This window comes from Homo sapiens, chromosome 8, assembly GCF_000001405.40.
Source record: "Homo sapiens chromosome 8, GRCh38.p14 Primary Assembly".
Lineage (NCBI taxonomy): Eukaryota > Metazoa > Chordata > Mammalia > Primates > Hominidae > Homo > Homo sapiens.
In genome coordinates this window covers 54,760,677-54,781,960 of record NC_000008.11, presented here as the reverse complement: position 1 = coordinate 54,781,960, position 21,284 = coordinate 54,760,677, and the positions used below count along the sequence as shown (strand labels likewise).

Sequence of the window (21,284 nt, the reverse complement as noted above, 5' to 3'; positions counted from 1 at the left end):
GTTTGCATAGAAGCTTGGATGTCTTGTTTACTGAAATAGAGGCAAATAGCAAGGAACCATTGATTCATATAATATGTCTGTGTTCCTCCTTTTTGGAATTAGCATGTCACGATGACATAGGCCTTAAGGGTGGAATAACTAATGAACATCATCTGCAGTTATTTTTATTCACTTTCAAGTTTTCCTAAGCATATTTTTCTTTTTTGCAACTGGAAAAAAAATAAATTTTATATTTCATCCTTTAAAAATCTAATCACTTAACTTCTCTAAGAATGTTTCACTACCTAAAATACAAAATAGTTGAGAACACTTGTAGAAAATAACATAGAGGAACATTCTGAGTTTATATTTAAATTAAAAGTTCCACTGCCCTATGAAATAATTTATTTATAACAGGGCTAAAAATATGTTTACAGTTTTTGTATTGCTTGTATGTGTGCCAAAATTACAAGTATTTGTCTGTAATTTTCTATTGCAAAACTTTTTTCGCCAAAAAAATCAAAAGAATATGACTTCAGATATTTTATCTATACGTTTCCTTATTTTTTCCTTTGCCTTATAGCTGCTGTCTATTCAACCCCAAGGACTCATATCAAAAAATGTTGTCATCTGTTAATCCCTTTGGAAAATGACTTCTATTAGAGTTTTCAAAGGAAGAAGGAAAATTCCACGTAATTGAAGTCTAAATATTTATCTTATATTTACAATGTTTTGAAAGGTTTAAAAAAAGTTCGTTGACTATGCAATAAGCCATTACTGACAATCTAACTCAGGCTGTGCCCTTTCATTCTCTTTTCCAAGCTTAAATTGGGGGAGATACTATAGCAATGTCTTTCATTTAAATAAACCCTACTGTAGATAAAAGGAAATTTTCTTGGAAACCACAGCCTTAGGAGGCTTACTTTCCTTTTGTGTTAAAAATACTTTTAAAGTAGTTTGGATATACTCTATGATCTCCAAATATTCCTTAATAAATTCGGATTTCTTCTCAACAATGAAGTAAAGTCTAACAGGATCTTCCATATTTACAATGAGAAGTATGTGCTCTGCCATTTCCATTCTCATGCAACCACGTGCAATCAGTATATGTAAAACTGACCTAGAGAATTCCGAACTTCAGCCTACAGTTGTTCCTCAGTATCTGTGGAGGATTGGTTCCAGAAACCCCCATAGATACCAACGCCAATAGATGCCCAAGTCCCTGATATACAATGGTGTAGTATTTCTGTATAACATACACACATCCTTTTGTATACTTTAAATCATGTCTAGATTACCTCTAATACCTAATACTATATAAATGCAATGTAAATAGTTGTTAGAATGTATTGTTTAGGTAACAATGACAAGAAAAAAGTCTGTACGTGTTCAGTACAGACACTACCTTCCTTTTTAAAAATATTTTTATCTGCTGTTGGTTGAATCCATGAATGTGGAACATCAAGTGTAATGTAGGCCAACAATTGGAATTAAATTAATATCTGTTGACAAGTTGACTTACAGGTATTGCGTCCACATTATGCACATTGTGTTTAACATTCGAGAGACTCTAAGGGAAGAAGTGAGTTCGATGATCAATCAAACCACACAGTTTATATGTCTTACCTAACACCGAGTTTACTAATGATTCACTAGCAGGACAGAGGACAAGCATTCTTCCCTTGCAGACATCATAGTCCAGAGGGTGGCAAACTATGGCCCATGGGCCAAATCCAGCCTGCCACCTGTTTTTGTAATTAAATTTCATTGGAATGACGCCATGCTCATTTGTTTATGTATTGTACATGGGTGTTTTCACACTACAACAACAGAGTTGAGTAGTTGCAACAGAGACCATATGGCCTGAAAAGCCTAACCCAGGCTTATCAGCTGGCAGCATGGGGGAGATATCTCTTCAGATGTCTGCAATTGCAGCACTAACTAAAGTTGTGTGAGAAGCTCCACGCAAAAAAATCACCTAGCTGAGCCATGTTAACCCACTGAAAGGTAAAGATAATAACAAATTATTGTTTTCAGCCACTGAGTTTGGGAGTGGTTTTTCACACAGCAATAGATAACTAGAATAGCTGCTGAAAGCATTTCACAGATAAGGGCTCTCCATTATCTTTTTACTTATAAATACCGTTAGCATTTCTATCAGGATGTCTAGTTATTAGTATGTATGCAAGGGGATTTGACTGAGTCACCTCTTTCATGTATCCCTGGTAGAGGAAAAAATTAGATTGCAGACCTGTCATTAACTGTTTCCTTCCCAATGTTTTCTTATCAATTGGAAGTGTATTCTCAGGAAAGCACGGTTGAGTTATTTTGGTGAGCAAAGTTGCTACAGCTAGTGAAGTTCAATAGCCCTTCCTTAGATCATAACATTTTTTTCTTTACCTTATTCTGTGTATTCTGTTACAGGGTTACATGCATTTGACTTTGTAGTTCAGAAAATTAACCCTGTTTTTGAATATAGAAACACCTGTGTCTAGACATGTTTTCAGATACTTGGCAACTACCCACTGAATACTCAAAAGAAATGCAGAGAAGATGCATGTGAATTAAGCTCTTACATGCAATTGTTAGTTGGGCATACTGAGGGAAAACACTCTTCACATCTGCTTGCCCTAAGTGACTGCAATTCAATAATAAAAATGATGGGACAGTCTGCTTTGCCTCATTGGACAGCAAACGTGTTCCCATGACTCTTACCTTGACAGAGGAGGACACAGGAAGATTCAGTGAAAGCGAAAAAACCCAGCACGTCTCTGCAGACTGCAGCCTCTCACTTCCCTGACTATAATAATTAGGGGTGGATTAAGACAGCCTAAAAAGACCAAGAGCCCTGTTTGTGAAATGTTTGTTTGTTTCTTACTTGGCGGAGAAGTCGAGGGTTGTGACAGGGAAAGATGGAGGAGAACTGCAGGTGACTTGGGGGGATAAAGTTCAAAAGTTGAACAGATCCACCTCCAAAAAAGCCCTGTGAGAGTCCCCCAGATTTTAGGTGGTGAGGAGAGGTCGGAATAAATAAAACTTTCTCTATCATTACATCCATGCTGACGTAATATTACATATAGATTGGTATGCCTGTCAAATGTCTAATCTAGCTCTTTTTATAATATTGATGCCCACTGCCCATAACACCCACCTCCAAGTAGCCACTGACCCCCTCTACAGCCTCCCTCTCACACAGCGACCTTCCCTTGTGCCAGCCTTCAGCTATCCTAAAAGGCTCCTTTCTTCCTCCAGGACTTGGACTAAAATCTTTTAGCCAAAATGTCCTCTCTTTCACCTCTCTCCTCTCACTAGTGAACATCCTAGCTCAAAGGTCACCTTCTCTTAAGAAGCATTAACATGGCTGGGCATTGTGGCTCATGCCTGTAATCCCAGCACTTTGGGAGGCCGAGGTGGGCGGATCACAAGGTCAGGAGTTCGAGACCAGCCTGGCCAATATGGTGAAACTCCGTCTCTACTAAAAATACAAAAATTAGCCGGGCATGGTGGTGCATGCCTGTAGTCCCAGCTACTCAGGAGGCTGAAGGAGAAGAATTGCTTGAACCCGGGAGGTGGAGGTTGCAGTGAGCCAAGATCATGTCACTGCACTCCAGCCTGGGCAACAGAGTGAGACTCCATCTCACAAAAAAAAAAAAAAAAAAAGAAGAAGAAGCATTAACAAACATTCCTCCCTGTAACCAGAATGAACCACCCTCCCTCTCATGCCTATACTGGACCCTGGCACACTTCAACATTTGGACATGCAAATAAGTGCCTTGATAGATAGGACACTCTCCACCCAGATTGTAAGTCCCTGAAGGGCACATTTTAGCCTTAAATGTCTCTGTATTCTCAGTGCCTAATACAACACTTGGCACATAATAGCCTTTCAAAAAACGAATGGGTGATTTATGAAACGTTTTGGGATCCGTTAAAATGTATTTTGAAAAGCATGGCTACCTGTATGAGGAAGGATATTCAAGATACTATTAAGATTATTTCAGCACAATATATAACTATTTATCAATTAACAAAAACAAGTCCTTCTGATGATGTGTCATTAGTGTCATTTTTCACACAAAGGACAAGGATATTGTTATTTGCCTCATAATTGATCTTATTATTAGCACAAAGATAATGGAAACAATATTGACCTTGTATGATCCACATTTTCAAGGTCATGTAAATATATTTAAATGAGATTTAGCAAAGATACTGTAAACAAGACAGATTATTCTAATTTTTATTAATTTTATCTCCAAATAATTCTATGTATATAAATTCACAAGTCCTTCAAAATACAACCTCATAAGAGGATCATGAGATTTTTTTTAATTTTTAAGTGCTTTACAAATATTTTTATTCTTTCAGGAGACAAATATCATTAATCCTATTATACATGTAAAGCAATAGAGAAATTCTGTGCTGACTACCACAGGAGTTGGGATAAATTTGACACCGAATTAGAAACAGTTATGCTTCCTAGATTAAAATGGTTTCGACCAGTGCTCAATTTTCTCCACTTTAAGTCCAGAAAACAACCATCAAACATTATCAGAAATGAATCTGTTACCTATTTTATCTTGATATTGGTCTAAGACGAATCTCTTGTTATTCCTGTGATTATTTACCACCGATTATTGTATGATGTAGTAAAGAGTGACAGAGTCAGCCAACCGGGTGGGAAGTGCTTGCTGTAGTCCAAACACGTGCACAGTGGGACTACAGCCACAGCACTCAAGACAGGGATAGGTTCCATTACAAGTGAAACATACAGTTTAAAAGCTAGTGTTTATTGGATACATAAGATATATTAGGCTCTGTTCAAGGTGCTTTATGGATATTATTTAATTCTCACAATAATCCTAAGAGTTTCTACTATTACCTACATTTTATCGGAAAGAAACCGAGGCACAAAGAAATACAGTGATTTCCCAAGCCATGCAGTGAGTAAGTGGTGCAGTCAAGATTCAGAAACTGCACTGCTAACCAGAACACTCAGCAGCCGCTGAGCAGCAGCACTGCTAACCAGAGCACTCAACACCCGCATGTGAGAGCTTGTCGTATCACTATTCAGGTAGGACAACTATACTTTAGTGCAGTTTACCATGCATCCCCTGCCTATTTAGTACATTCAACTCCACCTCAAATCTTGACCCTTAACAGGGAGGAGAGTGTGACAGTCAAATATCAAATTCTTTCCAGGTGCCCTAGGTTCCCTGTGATCATTTTCAACCTGGATTCTAGCAGCTCAGCCTTGGCATTTCCACCTTGTCCTCATCCCAAATTCCCTTCCAGTGTATCCTTGATACTTGCTGCCAAACCTCTTCCACGTCCTATTGCCTCTTTAATCACCCACCTTATCTTGGCTTATATGGAAAACTTGACTTGCCTTCCTTTGACTATAGTCATCTTTTGGTGTTCCAGGGAGATTAGTTCCAGGATGCCCCCTCATATCAAAATCCAAAGATGCTCAAGTCCCTTATAGAAAATGGCCTAGTTGGCCAAGAATAGTAGCTCACATCTGTAATCCCAGTGCTTTGGCAGGCCAAGGTGGGAAGATCAAGCCCATTCTGGGCAATACAGTGAGATCTTGTCTCTACAATTTCTTTTTAATTAGCTGGGCGTGGTGGCATATGCACATAGTCCCAGCTGCTCAGGAAGCCGAGGTAGGAGGATCCCTTGAGGCCAAGAGGTCAAGGCTGCAGTGAGCTATGATCATGCCACTGCACTCTACCCTGGGTGACAGAGCAAGACCCTGTCTCTAAAAAATAAACTAACCAAACAAAAACAACAACAAAATGGCACAATATTTGCATATAACCTATGCACATCCTCCCATATACATTAAATCTTCTCTAGATTACTTATAACTAACACAGTATAAATGCTGTATAAATAGTATTTTTTAAATGTGTATTACTTTCTGTTGTTATATTGTTATTTTTTATTGTTTGGGTTTTTTTCTGGAACTTTTCAATCTGTGGTTGTTGGAATCTGGGGATGTAGGACCTGCAAGTACAGAAGGCCAACTGCATTTGCTAACAATTCCTGAGTTCTTTGTGTCCCAACATCCTAAGCAATCTACTAGGTTCAAATCTACTTTCAGACCCACATTACTGTGTGCTGGTCATTAGGAGAGAAATTCATGATCTTCAATATATTTAGAATCCAAGTCTTGACCTAAGTATGCAGGTCTGTATGAGCCTATCCACTACCAATTCTACTGCTACCATGATCTATTCCTGCATAACGAACTATCCTAAAACTTGATGGCGCAAAACAATGACAATCATTTCTTATGCCCTTGAAAGTGCAATTTGGACCAGGCTTAGCAGGGAAGGATTATCTCTGCTCCACATAGTGTCAACTGGGGCAGTTCAGCTGTGGCTGGGAGGATTTGCTTCCAAGATGGCTCTCTCAATGTGACTGGCAAGGTGGTGCTGGCTGCAAGCACAGCCAGGGGTCAGAGCAATGGCCTTCATTCCTTTCCATGCAGACTTCTCTATAAGGTCCAGGCTTTCTCACAGGACAGTGGCTGGATTCTAAAGACTAACATTCCCAGAAAGCGAGCCAGGCAGAAGTGGTATCATCTTTTATGACCTAATAGTGTACAGCAAAAATGTCACATAGTATCATTTCTGCTTTACACAGTTAGTCAAGGCAGTTTCAAATGTCTGCCCAAGTTGATTCCACCTTTTGTTGAGTTCAGAAGAGCACAGGAAATGCTGCAGTCACAGACATTTTTAGCAAACAGTCTCCCACATCCTCCTTCCCAGACTTCCCCATCTCCACGCCTCTCTGACCACTTTTGCAGCAGAACCACTATTTTCTAGGTTAGCAGTTCTCAACTGTGGGTGAGTTTGCCCCTTGGAGACATTTGTTGATGTCTGGAGACATTTTTTTTTTTTGTCATCACAACTAGGTGCATGCTGTTGACATCCAGTGGGTGAGTAGAACCCAGGAAAGCTGCCAAACACCCTGATATTTATGACAGTCCCCCACAACAAAAAGTTATCCAAGCTGAAATGTCAGTAGTCCCAAGGTTTAGAAAACTTGCTTCAGATTAACAAGACATACTCTGATTGAGTAAGTCTATTTCACCCCAAACCCTTCTATGCTTTCTGTAAATTATTTATAAACACAAAGCGATTGAGGAGTAGGCTTTTGATGGTGATGTTTCTGCAAGGCTGTTGGATATTTGAAGATGCTGAGTGTATTTTATTACTGTTTCAGTGTCAAATCCATTCCGTTCCACTGCTATGTTGAGTTATGGGTATTTTGTCTCAAACCAAAAAAAAGGTGTGAGCCAATGTTCTAGAATCAAACAAAAACTAAACACTAGCTATTTAATTTGGGAGCAAATGAAGCTAAACCCAGCCAGGGCATGAGAAGCACTGCACTGTCTTCCTGGTTGCTCACTTAACACTTCCTGACATGCCTGTGCCAAAGGTTTTAGGCACCAAACAGTAAGTCACAGCAACATCTGGCCTCTGCTGGGAGAATTCCTCTTGGCTCACCTTCTCTCCTTTTGATTCTAAACTTGTTCACAAGTTGACTTCTCTTTTCCCACTTAGCCCTGCTGGAATTCATTAACCTAGTTTCAGGCTCTGTATGTTGGGACTGATGAAGCAATCCTGAAGATGGTTCCTCTGGCATCTCAGCTTCACAAATTATGCACACTCATTTGAGATACTGATTCCTGAGGCCTGCCCAGGCTCCCCGGTGCCACGGTGTGTCTTCCTGTGGAGGAAATGAGGCTGACACAACAGGCAGAAGGCTCCAACACAAAGGGTAGGCTGTTACCTTGTCATTATCCACACCACCACAGGAAATTGTACCCTGAATGATCGGAGTAAAAGGCAATACAAAACTATCTATAGTTGACTCAGAATGCATGATGATGTGATAGAATATTTTATGTTCTTAATCATGTTTAGCTGAGACTAATCATTAAATTTAATTTTCTTTCTTTGAGCAGACACTATTTGCGCAGTGAGGCCAGCCAAGCATGTATAGGTAACAGAACTGAGAGGAGAGAAAAAATATTTTAATAATCTTTGCCACACATAATCTACCAAATTGTTAATGATCATACTGCAAAGATTTAGCATTGCCTATAAATAAATGAGTAAGTGCTCCAAGAATTTTTAAATCCCTCAAGTCAGAAATCCCTGAGTGCATGTAGGAAGCTGAGTCATTAAAATGAAACAGTTTTGTATAATGGTTAAGAGCTAAGTTCCAATATCAGTTCTTTCATTTACTAACTGCTTGACTGAGGACAAGGTTCTTACACTTCTGAGCCACAGTTTCCTGAGATGGTATTTTATTTAGTTAGTTAGTTTTTTGAGACAGGGTCTTGATCTGTTGCCCAGGCCAGAGTGCAGTGGTGCCATGTAGGTTCACTGCAACCTCCGCCACCTGGGTTCAAGCAATTATCCTGCCTCAGCTTCCCTAGTAGTTGGGATTACAGGCATGCACTACCACACTCAGCTAATTATTGCATTTTTAGTAGAGATCGAGTTTCACCATGTTGGCCAGGCTGGTCTCAAACTCCTGACCTCAAGTGATCAGGCCACCTCAGCCTCCCAAAGTGCTGGGATTACAGGCATGAGCCACCGCACCTGGACCTGAGATGGTATTTTTAAAGCCATCTCACTAAAATGCAATGAGATACCGGATAAATTACAACAAAAATTGTTTTCAGTACATTATTCTAATCTCAAGGAAGTAAGAAAAATTATCCACTGCATATTAATAATAATAATAAAAGGGGCCACTAGGTGAAAGTGAGTGGTGAGCACTCAGCAAACGAGAAGGTGAGGACTGCAGGTGTGATGGATGCCAACACTCCAAGCCAGGAGAATGAATGGTGATGGCCACACAAGTGTGGGAACTGGACCTGAGACTTTTGAAGTAAGCCAAAGGGGGATACACCCTTAGTGAAAAGTTGGGCTCCAAATAAGTGGTAGTAAAAGGAGCTTATCAAAAACCCAACCTGTCCCCACAAAGGTTGAGAAAAGAGTAATATGAAATATAATAACAATAATAATCTCCCCTGACAATTAAAAACATCCTTTCACTTGGACCTGAAACAAGGCTAAAAGCTAAATCTAGCTTAATAGGTTAAAAAAATAACACAACAAGATAAATCCAAAGATACAGAAGATAAATACTCTCTCACACACACATTTTTAGTGACTGGGGGCAGTGGGCAGTGAAAATCAGTCCCTCTAAAGCAAGAACAGTACAATCCCTGAAGTTGAACCACTTGCATTCAAATTCTAAATCTGTTTGTGTGACTTTAGGCAAGTTATAAAAACCTCTCTGTCCTTTAGTTTCATCACCTGTGAAGTGGAATAATGATACAACCTATCCCATAGGGTTACTGGAGGATGAAATATATAAATTTTTCTGGAACACTTAGACTACACAACAAATAATATACACATTCACTATTAATGTTACCATCACTGCTTCTATTCCACATTGTACCAGGGACCTAGACAACATATGAGGATAATAAAAGGTGTCGTTATTCACATATGATATGGTCTTCATAGATCATTCAAATTGTATCTTGAAAGAACTTCTAGAACTAGAATTTAAACTTATTTTTTATTATATAATTAATATAAATTTATTGGAGTTAGTGAGGGGGTTTATTATGTGGCTGGATATAAGAGCAATATGCCAAAGGCACTGATAACAATGAAGAAACTCAATCCAGCAATGGATACTGAAAACATTCTCTCACAACCAAGTTCAGTCTAACTGAGTAATGTAGTTAGTTTTGCTATGAAGAATGATTTTACCTATATGAATTATAAATATTTAAGATTATAAGGTGTCAAGGTTTAGAAAACATGTCCCAGATGATTGTGGGAATTAATTAAACATGGCTAAGAGTTAGTAATGGTGCATAATTGTACTTAGTGTTAATCACCTCAAAATGAAAGTAAAAATAACTTAGTTGAGTCCTTTTTCCTTTTCTCCTTTAAATTTAAATAGCATTTTGGTCTACTTTCTTCCCCCTAAAGCTACATAGAAGGGCATAAATGACATACATGTGCTTCATATACTTTCAAAATCTAAGACTCATGTTTGCTTTTCAACATTCTTAACCACAATGTAACACTGCCTCAATAGATTAGACTGCTTAACCTTTCAAGGTTCTTTCCACACCATAAATTAGCTCATTCACATAACTATGAGATCACTAATGTATTTCCAGAATCATATCCCAAGAAATATTAAAGGTTGCATTATTTAGAATTTAAAAATGAAATAAGACAGAACCATTCACAATGACATTGTATCATGAACTAACCAAACTCATTAGTCTTTGACTAATCTACTTTTGAACTATAAAAAATATACATTTTAATGAGGCCATAAAATAAGACAACAGAAATAATTAATTAGAAGGAAGCATTTTAAAATAGCTTAATTTAATCAAATTTGATGAAGTATATCTAACAAAGTCCTAGGTCAACACCTTCCCTGTACATTGCAACTTCATGTTTGACATCACTGATGTTGATTACATGTCTTACATTATTGACAAAGGACTTCTGATACTTTCAGCCTTAATTATAACCTTCATTTTAAAACTATTAGCCTTTATTACCCACATATGCCCCACCAAGTTCTGGTATTAATGGATAATTTTTCTACTTAGAATGTCATTTCAAGCCTTATTACTTGACGGTTTATTGTAAGACACAGACCTCTGGAGGTCCCTTAAAATTATTAAGAAATTCTGGAACATTAGTAAAATTATGACCATCCTAAGAGTGTGACACATGAACAGACTTTTCCTTACAAAATAAATAACAAAAACTAAGCTGAAACACAGTTCCTAATATAAATAGATAAGAATGCTAGTTTAAGCTTGAACTGTTTATGTCTCAGTAGCCATCCTCATCATTATAGGACTTCATGAATAAAATAATGTTAGCACTAACCTTTGCCTAGTTTCAAACCACTGTAGAAAGTACATCCATTTTTGAAAACATAGAGATGTGGTAACCTGGTATGCATATTAGTAAACAGTATTTATCCATTTCATTCAGATCAACTTTAAAAATGTAACATATTAATACTATAATTGCAGATTGATTTGAAGAGGACCTAATAGAAAAAGATAACTACAAAAGACTTTAAAAGAAAACTAAGAAACCAATATGCAAATAAGTTTTTTAAAAAGTACAATTAAAAGAAGTTAATATAAATTACAAGTTGATTTTTGTAATTTATAATACAAATAAGATTTTTACTAACAAAAAATTGAGATACTTTACAAAAGCATAGTATATTTAAAAATGTGGTTACTTTTTGTGACATGAAATCATGGTTTTAGGCAATTTGAGAGAACGTAAATAAATTACAAGTTGAGTATTTCTTTTACGTTATCTCAAATTGCCTAAAACCATGATTTCATGTCACAAAAAGTAACCACACTTTTAAATATACTGTGTTTTTATAAAGTTATCTCAATTTTTTGTTAATAAAAATCTTATTTGGAAGAAAAAAAAGAAGTTAATATAATTTAACCATTTGGAAAATAATTATTTTCCATATATATTTAAATTATTGAAGAGAAGCATTAAGGAAAAAAGCATTTGGAGCTAAAGTTGCTGTTAGTTTCTTTATAAATCAACTATAATGCTTATTCCGTGTTCATTTTAAGTATTTTTCAATCAATAGTTAAACTCAATAAGAATGTACTATAAAAAATGTGTAAGGCTGGTAATCTTGAAACAGAAATGGATTATTTCAGATGATTAAAAGATGAAAAGTGGCAACAACATTTACCATTTGCTTCCTCTTGTATTTTAGGTTGATGATTTATTTGCATTTCTGCAAAAATAAAAGTGAAGTGCAGTTAATAACAGATCTGTCTGATGACATTGTAAGTGGGAAAAGAAGAAACGTGAGTTTAACTCTTTAACAGAGGCAAATCCTTAAGTTGATTTTTAACTTCAATTAGGGCACACAACATTTCTAAGACACAGCTTTACATATGTTTTTATTTCACTGTGAGGAATACTATAAATCCAATAATAAAAGATAAATATCAAAGGGGATGTTCTGAGGAAAACTGGGGAATAGTGTTCCATGATGTCCAGATGTAACAAAATCATCTTGTACTTTCTTCTACTGATGGTTTCAGTAATCCTCACCTTGAAGATAAAGTTCAATTTCTGAATGAATTATGCCCTGAGACATGAAAGGAAGCCATCTGAGGAAAAAGAGAGAGAGAGAAAGAAAGAGAGAGGAGAAAATAGAGAGAAAATTAATTTCTGATTTTCTCAATTTTAAAATAAGGTTGATTCTGCATTAATTTTGCACACTAAATGTTAACTATAAAGTTGCTTTTTATATAGTCAAACACAATCCATCCTATTACACATTCATCATAGCACTAAGAATGGTAAGAATCATACCTGTGGCTTGAAGAACGAAATATATACGTTGCTAACCCTGCTAACCACCCACCTCTCCAGGTTTGTCAGTCCTCTACCACTATCACCTGTAAAAGCAACTGGGGCTCCAGCAGAGCACTCCCAGTACCAAGCTGGATAAAAGGGCAAGGGCAGGTTTCAGATTTTGAGCATGGTACCTGGGCCAGCCTAGAAAATATGGCCTGCACATTGATTGCAGGGAAACTTGGCACAGAAAAATAGACTTCCTATTTTAATATTTCCTCTATGAGAGTTTCTGTCTTGCTTTCACCTGGCTTCCTCTAAAATCTCTTCCTCAGTGTTTGCAAAAAGAATATTACCATTGGCCAGGCGTGGTGGCTCATGCCTGTAATCCCAGCACTTTGGGAGGCCAAGGCGGGTGGATCATGAGGTCAGGAGATCGAGACCATCCTGGCTAACACGGTGAAAGCCCATCTCTACTAAAAATAAAAAAATTAGCTGGGCGTGGTGGTGGGCGCCTGTAGTCCCAGCTACTCAGGAGGCTGAGGCAGGAGAAGGCGTGAACCTGGGAGGCAGAGCTTGCAGTAAGCTGAGATTGTGCCACTGCACTCCAGCCTGGGCAACAGAGTGAGACTCCGTCTCAAAAAAAAAAAAAAAAAGAATATAACCATAAAGTTGGTGAAAATATTATCATGCTGGAAAATGTGCTTAGGGTGAGCTAATAGCTGATCCTCCTGGAGCTTCCCCCTAAACCAGGTAAACTTTAGTGTTAGAAGCTCCCTTTTGAAGAAAAGGTCAAGATTGGACTCAGAAAACCAGCTTTGCCATTTACTGGCTTTGTGATCTTACCCTCTTGAAACTTACTTTCTTTGACTAAATTACCTGCCTCATAGCAGTGTTGTGAAGCTGAAATGAAAAGTCGTGTACAAGCATTTTTTTGTAGTATTACATGGTATATCAGTTTTATTATTATACCACAAAAACCACGGTTATTGCTATCCCACACACTTACACATACTCTCATTCCTTCCATCCTTCCATCTATCCATTCAATACATACTTAGAAAGTGCCCTGTGTGGGCAGGTATTTTCCTAAGTGCTGGGACTACAAGAAAAACAAAAGAGAGAAGAAACGTGACCTGAGGAGCTTCCAGTGTAAAACAGAAGGAAACAGATATGTAAAGATATAAATGTAACAAAGTGTGGTGAGACACTTAAATACAGATGTTATAGGAGCAGAAAAAGAGACTGACCAACTCAATTGCAGGAATGGGGAAGTGCAAAGGAATGAAGAACAAAAAAATTAAACAAAGAGGTGATACTTGAGCTGAAGGTTGGACAATAAGTAGGTCAGGATGGGCACCGTAGAGAGAGACAACAGCACTGGCAAAGGTACAGAGTCCAATGAGATTCCACGTGGCTGACGCACAGGAGGCTGCTGGACAAGATGGGGTAGCGGCAGGGGTTGTGTGTGGGTTACTCAAGGATCTGACAATGTCAAGGAACTTAAGAGTCTGAGCTGTAGGACTGACGTCACCACACTAGCCTTGCAATCAGCAGATAATGGGAAGGTGTGGGGTATAAAGGCGAACTGTGAGCTCGCAGTCCTACCCAGCTGTCAGGATTGCTCATCTCTCCATTTTTCCAAAGCTATGAGAAATCCCATTTCCTTCTGACCACTTTAGCTCACAGTGTTCTTTCCTCCTCTGGAGCCTAATAACACACATACAATATATTTTGCACATTTTGTTAGCCCCTAATTATGCAATCTTACTTTATTAGTTATGTTTTGGTTTATGTATCCCATCTTTCCAGCTACATTGTTATGTATGTAAAGAGTTTACTTTACATGCCAGAATAAAGACAGTCAGCTTCATGTTTAAAAATACAGACTTTAGGCCCAGCAAGGTGGCTCACACCTGTAATCCCAGCACTTTGGGAGGCCAAGGCAGATGGATCACCTGAGGTCAGGAGTTCAAGACCAGCCTGGCCAACATGGTGAAACCCCATCTCTACTAAAAATCCAAAAATTGTCCAGGCATGTTGGCACACACCTGTAATCACAGCTACTCAGGAGGCTGAGGCAGGAGAATCACTTAAACCTCGGAGGCAGAGGTTGCAGTAGGCTGAGATCGCTCCACTGAACTCCAGCCTGGGTGACAGAGCAAGACTCCATCTCAAAAAAAAAAAAAAAAGAATACAGACTTTAAATTTCAAGTAGAGTCAGATTGCCTTGTTTCAAAACCTGGCTTCAACATCTACTACTTGTGCAACCTTGCCCCATGTCCTTAATCTTTGTAACCCTCAGTTTCCTCATTTATAAATTATGGATAATAACCTTACCTATACAAAGGATACAGAATTAAACATACATAAATGTATTATGGTAAAATAGTTACTACTGCATTTCCTGACTGCCAAACACAGTGCCTTGTACACAGTTGTGTTACAGAAAATATATTTGGGGTGACTGCCAGTCAACAAACAACCATCCTACTTTTCTCAGATGTGCCATAAAACAGTAGGCCTTGGATAGTGAAGCAAGTTTTCACATTAAGACAAGAAAATTCCCCCAAAGCCAATGAACAGATGGGAGAATTGGAGCAGTGTGGCTTGAGAAGTGCAGTGATGATATTAAAGGAATGGAATAAAAAGCAAGCACGAGAAGGTTGCTTGACCAAGAACACAATCCATTCTCTGCAGCCACCAGCTAAAGAATGCCTAAACCCCTAGGTCACCAGGGAGCTCCCTTTCACTGGCCTAGCTAGGAAACACAAAGACAGGGGCAAAAATTCTGTTAGTCTTTTAAGATTAAAGTAGACAATTGTGGAACGTGTTGGGGTGCTCCCGCCTTAAAACATATAGGGTGTTTTGCTGGGGGAAGATGTATAACGAGGTAAGGAGTAGTACAGATTTTATTTAGTCTGAGATATATTTTATATTTGGCACACTTTCACATTGAAAATGGCAGAAGAAATATTTGAAGATTCTATGTCTCCACCCCCATCCCCAAAAAATGAACAAGACTCATCCCTGCACCTCATTCTGTCAGTTTCCCACCATCACTACTTGTCACTTTCGCACCAAGGAATGGCGTAAACTGACAAAGAAGAGCACAGAAATCTGCAGCAGCACAAATACATGCTCAGAATAGCAAGAAATGATTAATAGTGGCCTCTTTCAGGAAAAAAAAAATCAGTAAAGTTAAATGATTGCTCACTGCCTCATGATAATTTTTATTATTCCCTTCTCCCTATAAAAATTGTATTTTACATTTCTGTACTTTATCAAAATTTCAACATCTTTTTTTATCTATATCATTCATCATCTCCCCCTCTTTTCCCAGAAAGGGAAAATAAAACCATTTGTAGACAGGCTGACTTATTTTGAAAATAAATAAATGCATAAATTATTCGTAATGAGACATCTGAGTATGTTACAGAGGGAACTCATGCAAAGATTAGGTGACCTCTAAGGTTTCTTCCAGCTTGAGATTCCACTGTGTTTTCCATCCATCGTCCTTACCCCCCTCCCTCCTTCCTTCCCTTCCTTCCTTTCCCCATTCCTATCTATAAATATTTGCTAAATCCATACTTGGTACAAGAAGCCATACTGGAAAATAAAGAGAAATTTATGAGACACTACCCTTAAGAAGCATATCATCTGGTACCTGAGACAAATACGTTCACAAACAATGGCAGTGCATTGTCTGGCAAGAATTGCATAAAGGTCTAAGTCAAGTGCTGGAGGAATTTAAAGAGGGTAAGGATGAACACACTTCTGTCTGGGCAAGCAGAGAAAGCTTCATGGCATGGATAACATTTTATCCTGGGCCTTGAGGGATAAGAATTTCAGTAAGCAGAAGAAAGAATATAATGAGCTAAAACAAATGAGGGAAAAGAGTAACAATATCCCTGGAGAATGTCTAGAGACAGAAGCGAAACGTACTCTACTCAGGAGAATTGGAAGAAAAGCCTAGAAAGGTAAATGGCCAAGGTAGGGGGATAATATGTTTTTAATTCACCACACACTAACACCTTCAGGCAGAGCTGGCCTAGGTGTAAAAGTTCTCTTGCCAACTATACTTACACAGAAGAAGGATGCTGTTCAAACAGGGCTGCCCCTGCTTCTTTTCCTGACCCTCTCCACAAATGATATACTCAGCCCTGTTCTGTATAAGGCTCAGCTCATGATTTACTAACTAATTCACTAATTTAGCACACACTTTCTGAGTACCTACTATGTTCTGTGTATTTGTCCTGTGGACACTGAAGGTCTTGATTACAACCTCCTAAGAGCATGCGCCTCATGTTTGATTTTCATGGAATAACCGCTAGAGTTGCCACAAGGCAATTAAGCAAGGACAATGCTTTGTGAATAATAATGATGGGATGGTACAGGGGTGATTATCAGCCTTGCTTCCACGGAAGAATCTCATGCATGGAGATGCGGCCTGCTGGTGTGTGAGGCTGCAGTGATAGAGCAGCAGAAACGCCGCTCTCTGCCAGGCCGTCAAGGCGGAGCCCCCTTGCGGTGTGGTTGGCCAACTAGCCACTTCAGTTTTTCAAGAGTGAGATCCTGAGACAAGTAAACTGCATTTTGCTTAAAAATCTATACCAGTAGGACACGTCTTTTTTTTTTTTTTCTTTTTAACTCATGCTAATTCTAAGAATTACTCTTTGGCTTCTTGTTGTCATTAACACTTAAAAATGAGTATTAAGTGACAATTTTGTTTATATGTGTCATAGTGAGGTTAAGATACAATTAAACCTTTTAAATTGTGTTCTAATTCCAAATCTGTCTTTTAATATGATTTCCCTTTGGGCTTATAGTGTCTTGATTAATGCATGCATTTTGGTTGAATTTATTACACATGTAAATTTAACCTAGTTCCCTTCTATTTCAGAAACGATAGGAGCTGAAAGTAAAAATATAAGACATCAGCCCAACCTTGGGGAAAAGTGTACTGAACTAGAGGAGTAGGACAGACACATAAACACACACATATAACTTAATGTAGTAAGTGCTGAGTTAATGTCACACGCCTTGTGAAAGGTATACAGGAAAATGAGTTTCCCAACCTGTAGCTTCAGGAAATATCTCCTGGCAGAGGTGACGCATCTTTTGTCAACTCACCAGTAAATATACCCATGAAAGCCTACAGGACTCCAGGCACCACGGAATGGCCATGAGTTAGGTAAACTCAGATCCAACAGCACCAGCTGAGAACACAGTGAAGGCCAGTGAGGAGCAGAGAAGAAAGTGTCTGCCAGGCCCTGGCTGAGCTGTAGGCCTGCTGTGTGGCCAAGGCCAGCTTTTGGCTGCAAAGGTTCCCCCAGAGTGTGATCTCAAGGATGAAAAGAAGGCCTTTAGTTTGCCTTGCCCGAAGGCCTGCCTCACCTGCCTGCAGGGGGCCCACAATTGTTTCGGTGGAACAACAGACTCTTTTTTTCAACAATTAATAAGAAGGTGCTGAGGACCGTGAAAAGGGCGTGAGTCTGGAGTGGAGGTGGCATTCCACCTACCAGAGGTATTCAGGATTTGCTGATAGTCTATTCTAGCCATAGTGGAAAGCTTTTAAAGTCTTCTTTTCTTATACTTTGCACAAAGGAGATAATCTCAACCTTTCTCAAAAAAAAAAATTTTAAAGTCATGAATCCTGAATAGAAATGAGACGGGAACACTTTAAAGGTGTTAACTGCAATGTCAACTCTAAGGAACGCTGTGGAGCATTATGTCCTTATTCCTCAGGTGAATGTGCCTCAGGGTCACTCCACCTATCTGACTACAATTTGGTTTTGAGAGGACAAAGCTGGTCATGCTGCCTTGCTTTGACAAGTCAAGTTAGATTCGTTTTGTTTGTTTGTTTGTTTTTGAGATGGAGTTTTTGTTCTTGTTGCCCAGGCTGGAGTTCAATGGCACACTATCGGCTCACCACTACCTCCGCCTCCTGGGTTCAAGCAATTCTCCTGCCTCAGCCTCCCGAGTAGCTGGGATTACAGGCATGCACCACCATGCCCGGCTAATTTTGTATTTTTAGTAGAGACATGGTTTCTCCATGTTGGTCATTATTTGTAGTTATTTGCATTTAACTGATTGATTTCTGCATTTAAAAATTCTCCTTCTATTTAGAATTCCCCTAGGTAGGGCCTTTATTTCAAATAACTTGCTTCTGCAAGCTCCTATCAATGTCATTTCCCAAACCAGGAGTTATGAAAGGCAACATTGAGAAGCTTTTGGCACTCCTTGTCTCCAGGCCCTCCTAGGTCAAGTAGGTTATCAAATATATATTGTGAATGACATTGTTTCTATTAAAAGATAGATGCTAACTTATTTTTAATAATTTCACATTAAAGTCAAGACTCACATATACACATGCATACACAATAGTTCAAGTTTGGTAACACAGAAAAATCTGGAGATTCCCTAATTTAATGCTAAACAATACATTACAGAATCCACTCAAAAAGTATACTGGGTTAAATAGTGTTCCCCCAAAATTCATGGCCACCTAGAACCTCAGAACATGACCTTGTTTGGAAATAGGGTATGTAATTAGTAAAGATGAGGCCATACTGGAGTAGGATGGGTCTAGTCCAATGACGACAGTGTCCTTACAAAAAGATAAGAAATACAGAGACACAGACACACAAAAGGAAGACAGCCATGTGACAACGGAGCAGAGGCTGGAGTGATGCAGCTGCAAGCCAAGGAAACCCAAGGACAGTGAGCATGCAGCAGAAGTGGGAAGGGCGAGGAAGGACTGTTTCCCAGGCCTTCCGAGACAGTGAGGCCCCGATGACACCTGGATCGTGGATCACTGGCCTCCAGGAGCTGCAAAAGGATATATTTCAGTTGTTCAATGCAATCAAATCTGTGGCAATTTGTTACGGCAGCCACAGGAAGCTAATATAAATACTAAATGAAAATATTTGCATTAATTCATAAAGTCAGTTGAATGTCTGCCTTATTCAAATAAAATTTTGTTTGCTGCAAACCTCAAATAGCCAAACCTCCAGTGTAAATGGTAGAAATTCAGTGATGTATACCCCTATCTATATTAAATGTACAAAAGACAGAAAAATAATACCTTCAGGCATAGAAATAAAATAAAGCCATAAGGACGTGGGTGTTCAGTTGAAGAGGGAAAAAGGAAAGGAGGATGCGCACACTCGCAGGCAGCCTCTGTGATGCATACAAGCAGTCTCCTCACGCGGCTCTGCTTTGTGTCTCACCTAAGCATTTCCCCCGAGCCCACAAAAAGGGACAAGCACTCGGTGGTCTTTTTCTCTGCCCTAATTCAGCTGTGCTGTAAATTCTTGTTCTCTGAGGAAACTCCAAGGAGCATGACCGAGATTTTCTTTCCTTTTCCCTTCTGTGATGTGCACCTGAGCATTTTGGATGCCTGTACCCCAGAACTAACTAGCCACAGTGAACATGCCCAGCATCATACCCTACCCAGCTCCCCCGCCAGGACTGTCCACTCCAGCTCCTGCGTGCACCCATGGCTCTCCTTTCTCTTCAGAACAGCCTTCCAGGCTCCATGGACACTGACCTTGACCTCATATGCACAGAAAAGGCTCTGGGAGACAGAAGTAACTATAAGTGGCTTCAGAATGGCCTTTTTCTGCAGTAGAAAGGAACCTGCTGTGCCCCAAGTTCTATTCCTGGTGCCATACTCTTCTGCTCCTTTAAGAATTAAGGAAGTAGGAACTGTCTCATCTCTGTATAGCTACATAATAGAAAGCAATTATTTTTGCAACTTACTTTCTTCATCAGGGTATTACATGAATGAGCACTCGGTACCATTTATTTAGGACCTACTATGATCAGGGTATTAAATATTAGCATTTAATATTTTATATCTGTTACATTATTTGGGATTGTTCAATATATTTTGAAACTAAAATTCTTTCAGATACAACCCATTGAAATTATAATAATTAAGCTATCACTTATGCTCCTTCCTTCCAAAGGAGGCCATGGTGGCACAGCACAAACAAGAAGTAAGGTAGTGCAGGGGCCAGGTGCGGTGGCTCATGCCTGTAATCCAGCAGTTTGGGAGGTTAAGGCGAGCGGATTGCCTGAAGTCAGGGGTTGGAGACCAGCCTGGCCAACATGGTGAAACCCTGTCTCAACTAAAAATACAAAAATTAGCCAGGCATGGTGGTACATGCCTGTAATCCCAGCTACTTGGGAGGCTGAGGCAGGAGAATTGCTTCAACCCAGGAGGTGAAGGTTGCAGTGAGCTGAGATTGAGTCACTGCACTCCAGCCTGTGTGACAGAGCAAGACTCCGTCTCAAAAAAAAAAAAAAAAAAAAAGTAAGGTAGCGCAAGAAATGATGGGTGACGATGTGAAATGTATGTGTAGACATGGACAGTGGCAGTGACTGCATCTAAATTACCCACCAGAAGATTTCATATTTAAAAGAAATCAGCTAAACTAATGTGACAAACTATATCAGAACATAAGATGAAAGTCCTGGATGAAGCACACTCTACCTCTTCTGATGCAGGGAATAAAACAGAGCTTCCACCAGTGCCCCAGAGATGCCTGTGTGCTGTGGGTGGGAGCAGGCTGGGAAATGACACCCAAGTCCTCTTCAGTGCTATGTGTTACTCATCAGATGGGGGTGCCTGTGCTGTGCTAAGTTCTGAGTACACATTGAGAGAAGAGAAAAAATCTTTGTAGTTTGGCCAATTAAGTCATACTACAGGCCAAATTGGAATTGGAACTTGAGGATGGACAGGATTATAATGGGGAGAAGAGAGCAAGGAAAGGTCCTCTTGAGTGAAGACTAGCACTCCGAGGGACAAAAGCAGAGTGGAACAGAACTTGTTTAGGTAATTATAGGGGTCTAATTTCACTAAGATCTTGT

General features: G+C 39.2%; 1 protein-coding gene and 1 long non-coding RNA gene across 8 annotated transcripts in view; one reads left to right on the top strand and one right to left on the bottom strand.

Annotated features, from left to right (window-relative positions):
• The window catches only part of RP1 (RP1 axonemal microtubule associated), a 312,050-nt gene that overhangs the window by 89,274 nt on the left and 201,492 nt on the right, over positions 1 to 21,284 (bottom strand). For all 7 annotated transcript variants that reach the window (XM_047422069.1, XM_047422070.1, XM_047422071.1 and 4 more), the window contains 2 exons: positions 12,162 to 12,220; positions 11,794 to 11,838 (listed from right to left, as the gene is read on the bottom strand). In XM_047422069.1, the coding sequence (XP_047278025.1) occupies positions 11,794 to 11,838; positions 12,162 to 12,220 (104 nt within the window). The remainder of the gene's footprint in view (positions 1 to 11,793; positions 11,839 to 12,161; positions 12,221 to 21,284) is intronic.
• On the top strand, positions 6,727 to 11,906 carry LOC105375842 (uncharacterized). Its single transcript, XR_928900.3, has 3 exons — positions 6,727 to 6,925; positions 7,554 to 7,770; positions 11,818 to 11,906. It is a non-coding gene; the product is annotated as an uncharacterized LOC105375842 (long non-coding RNA).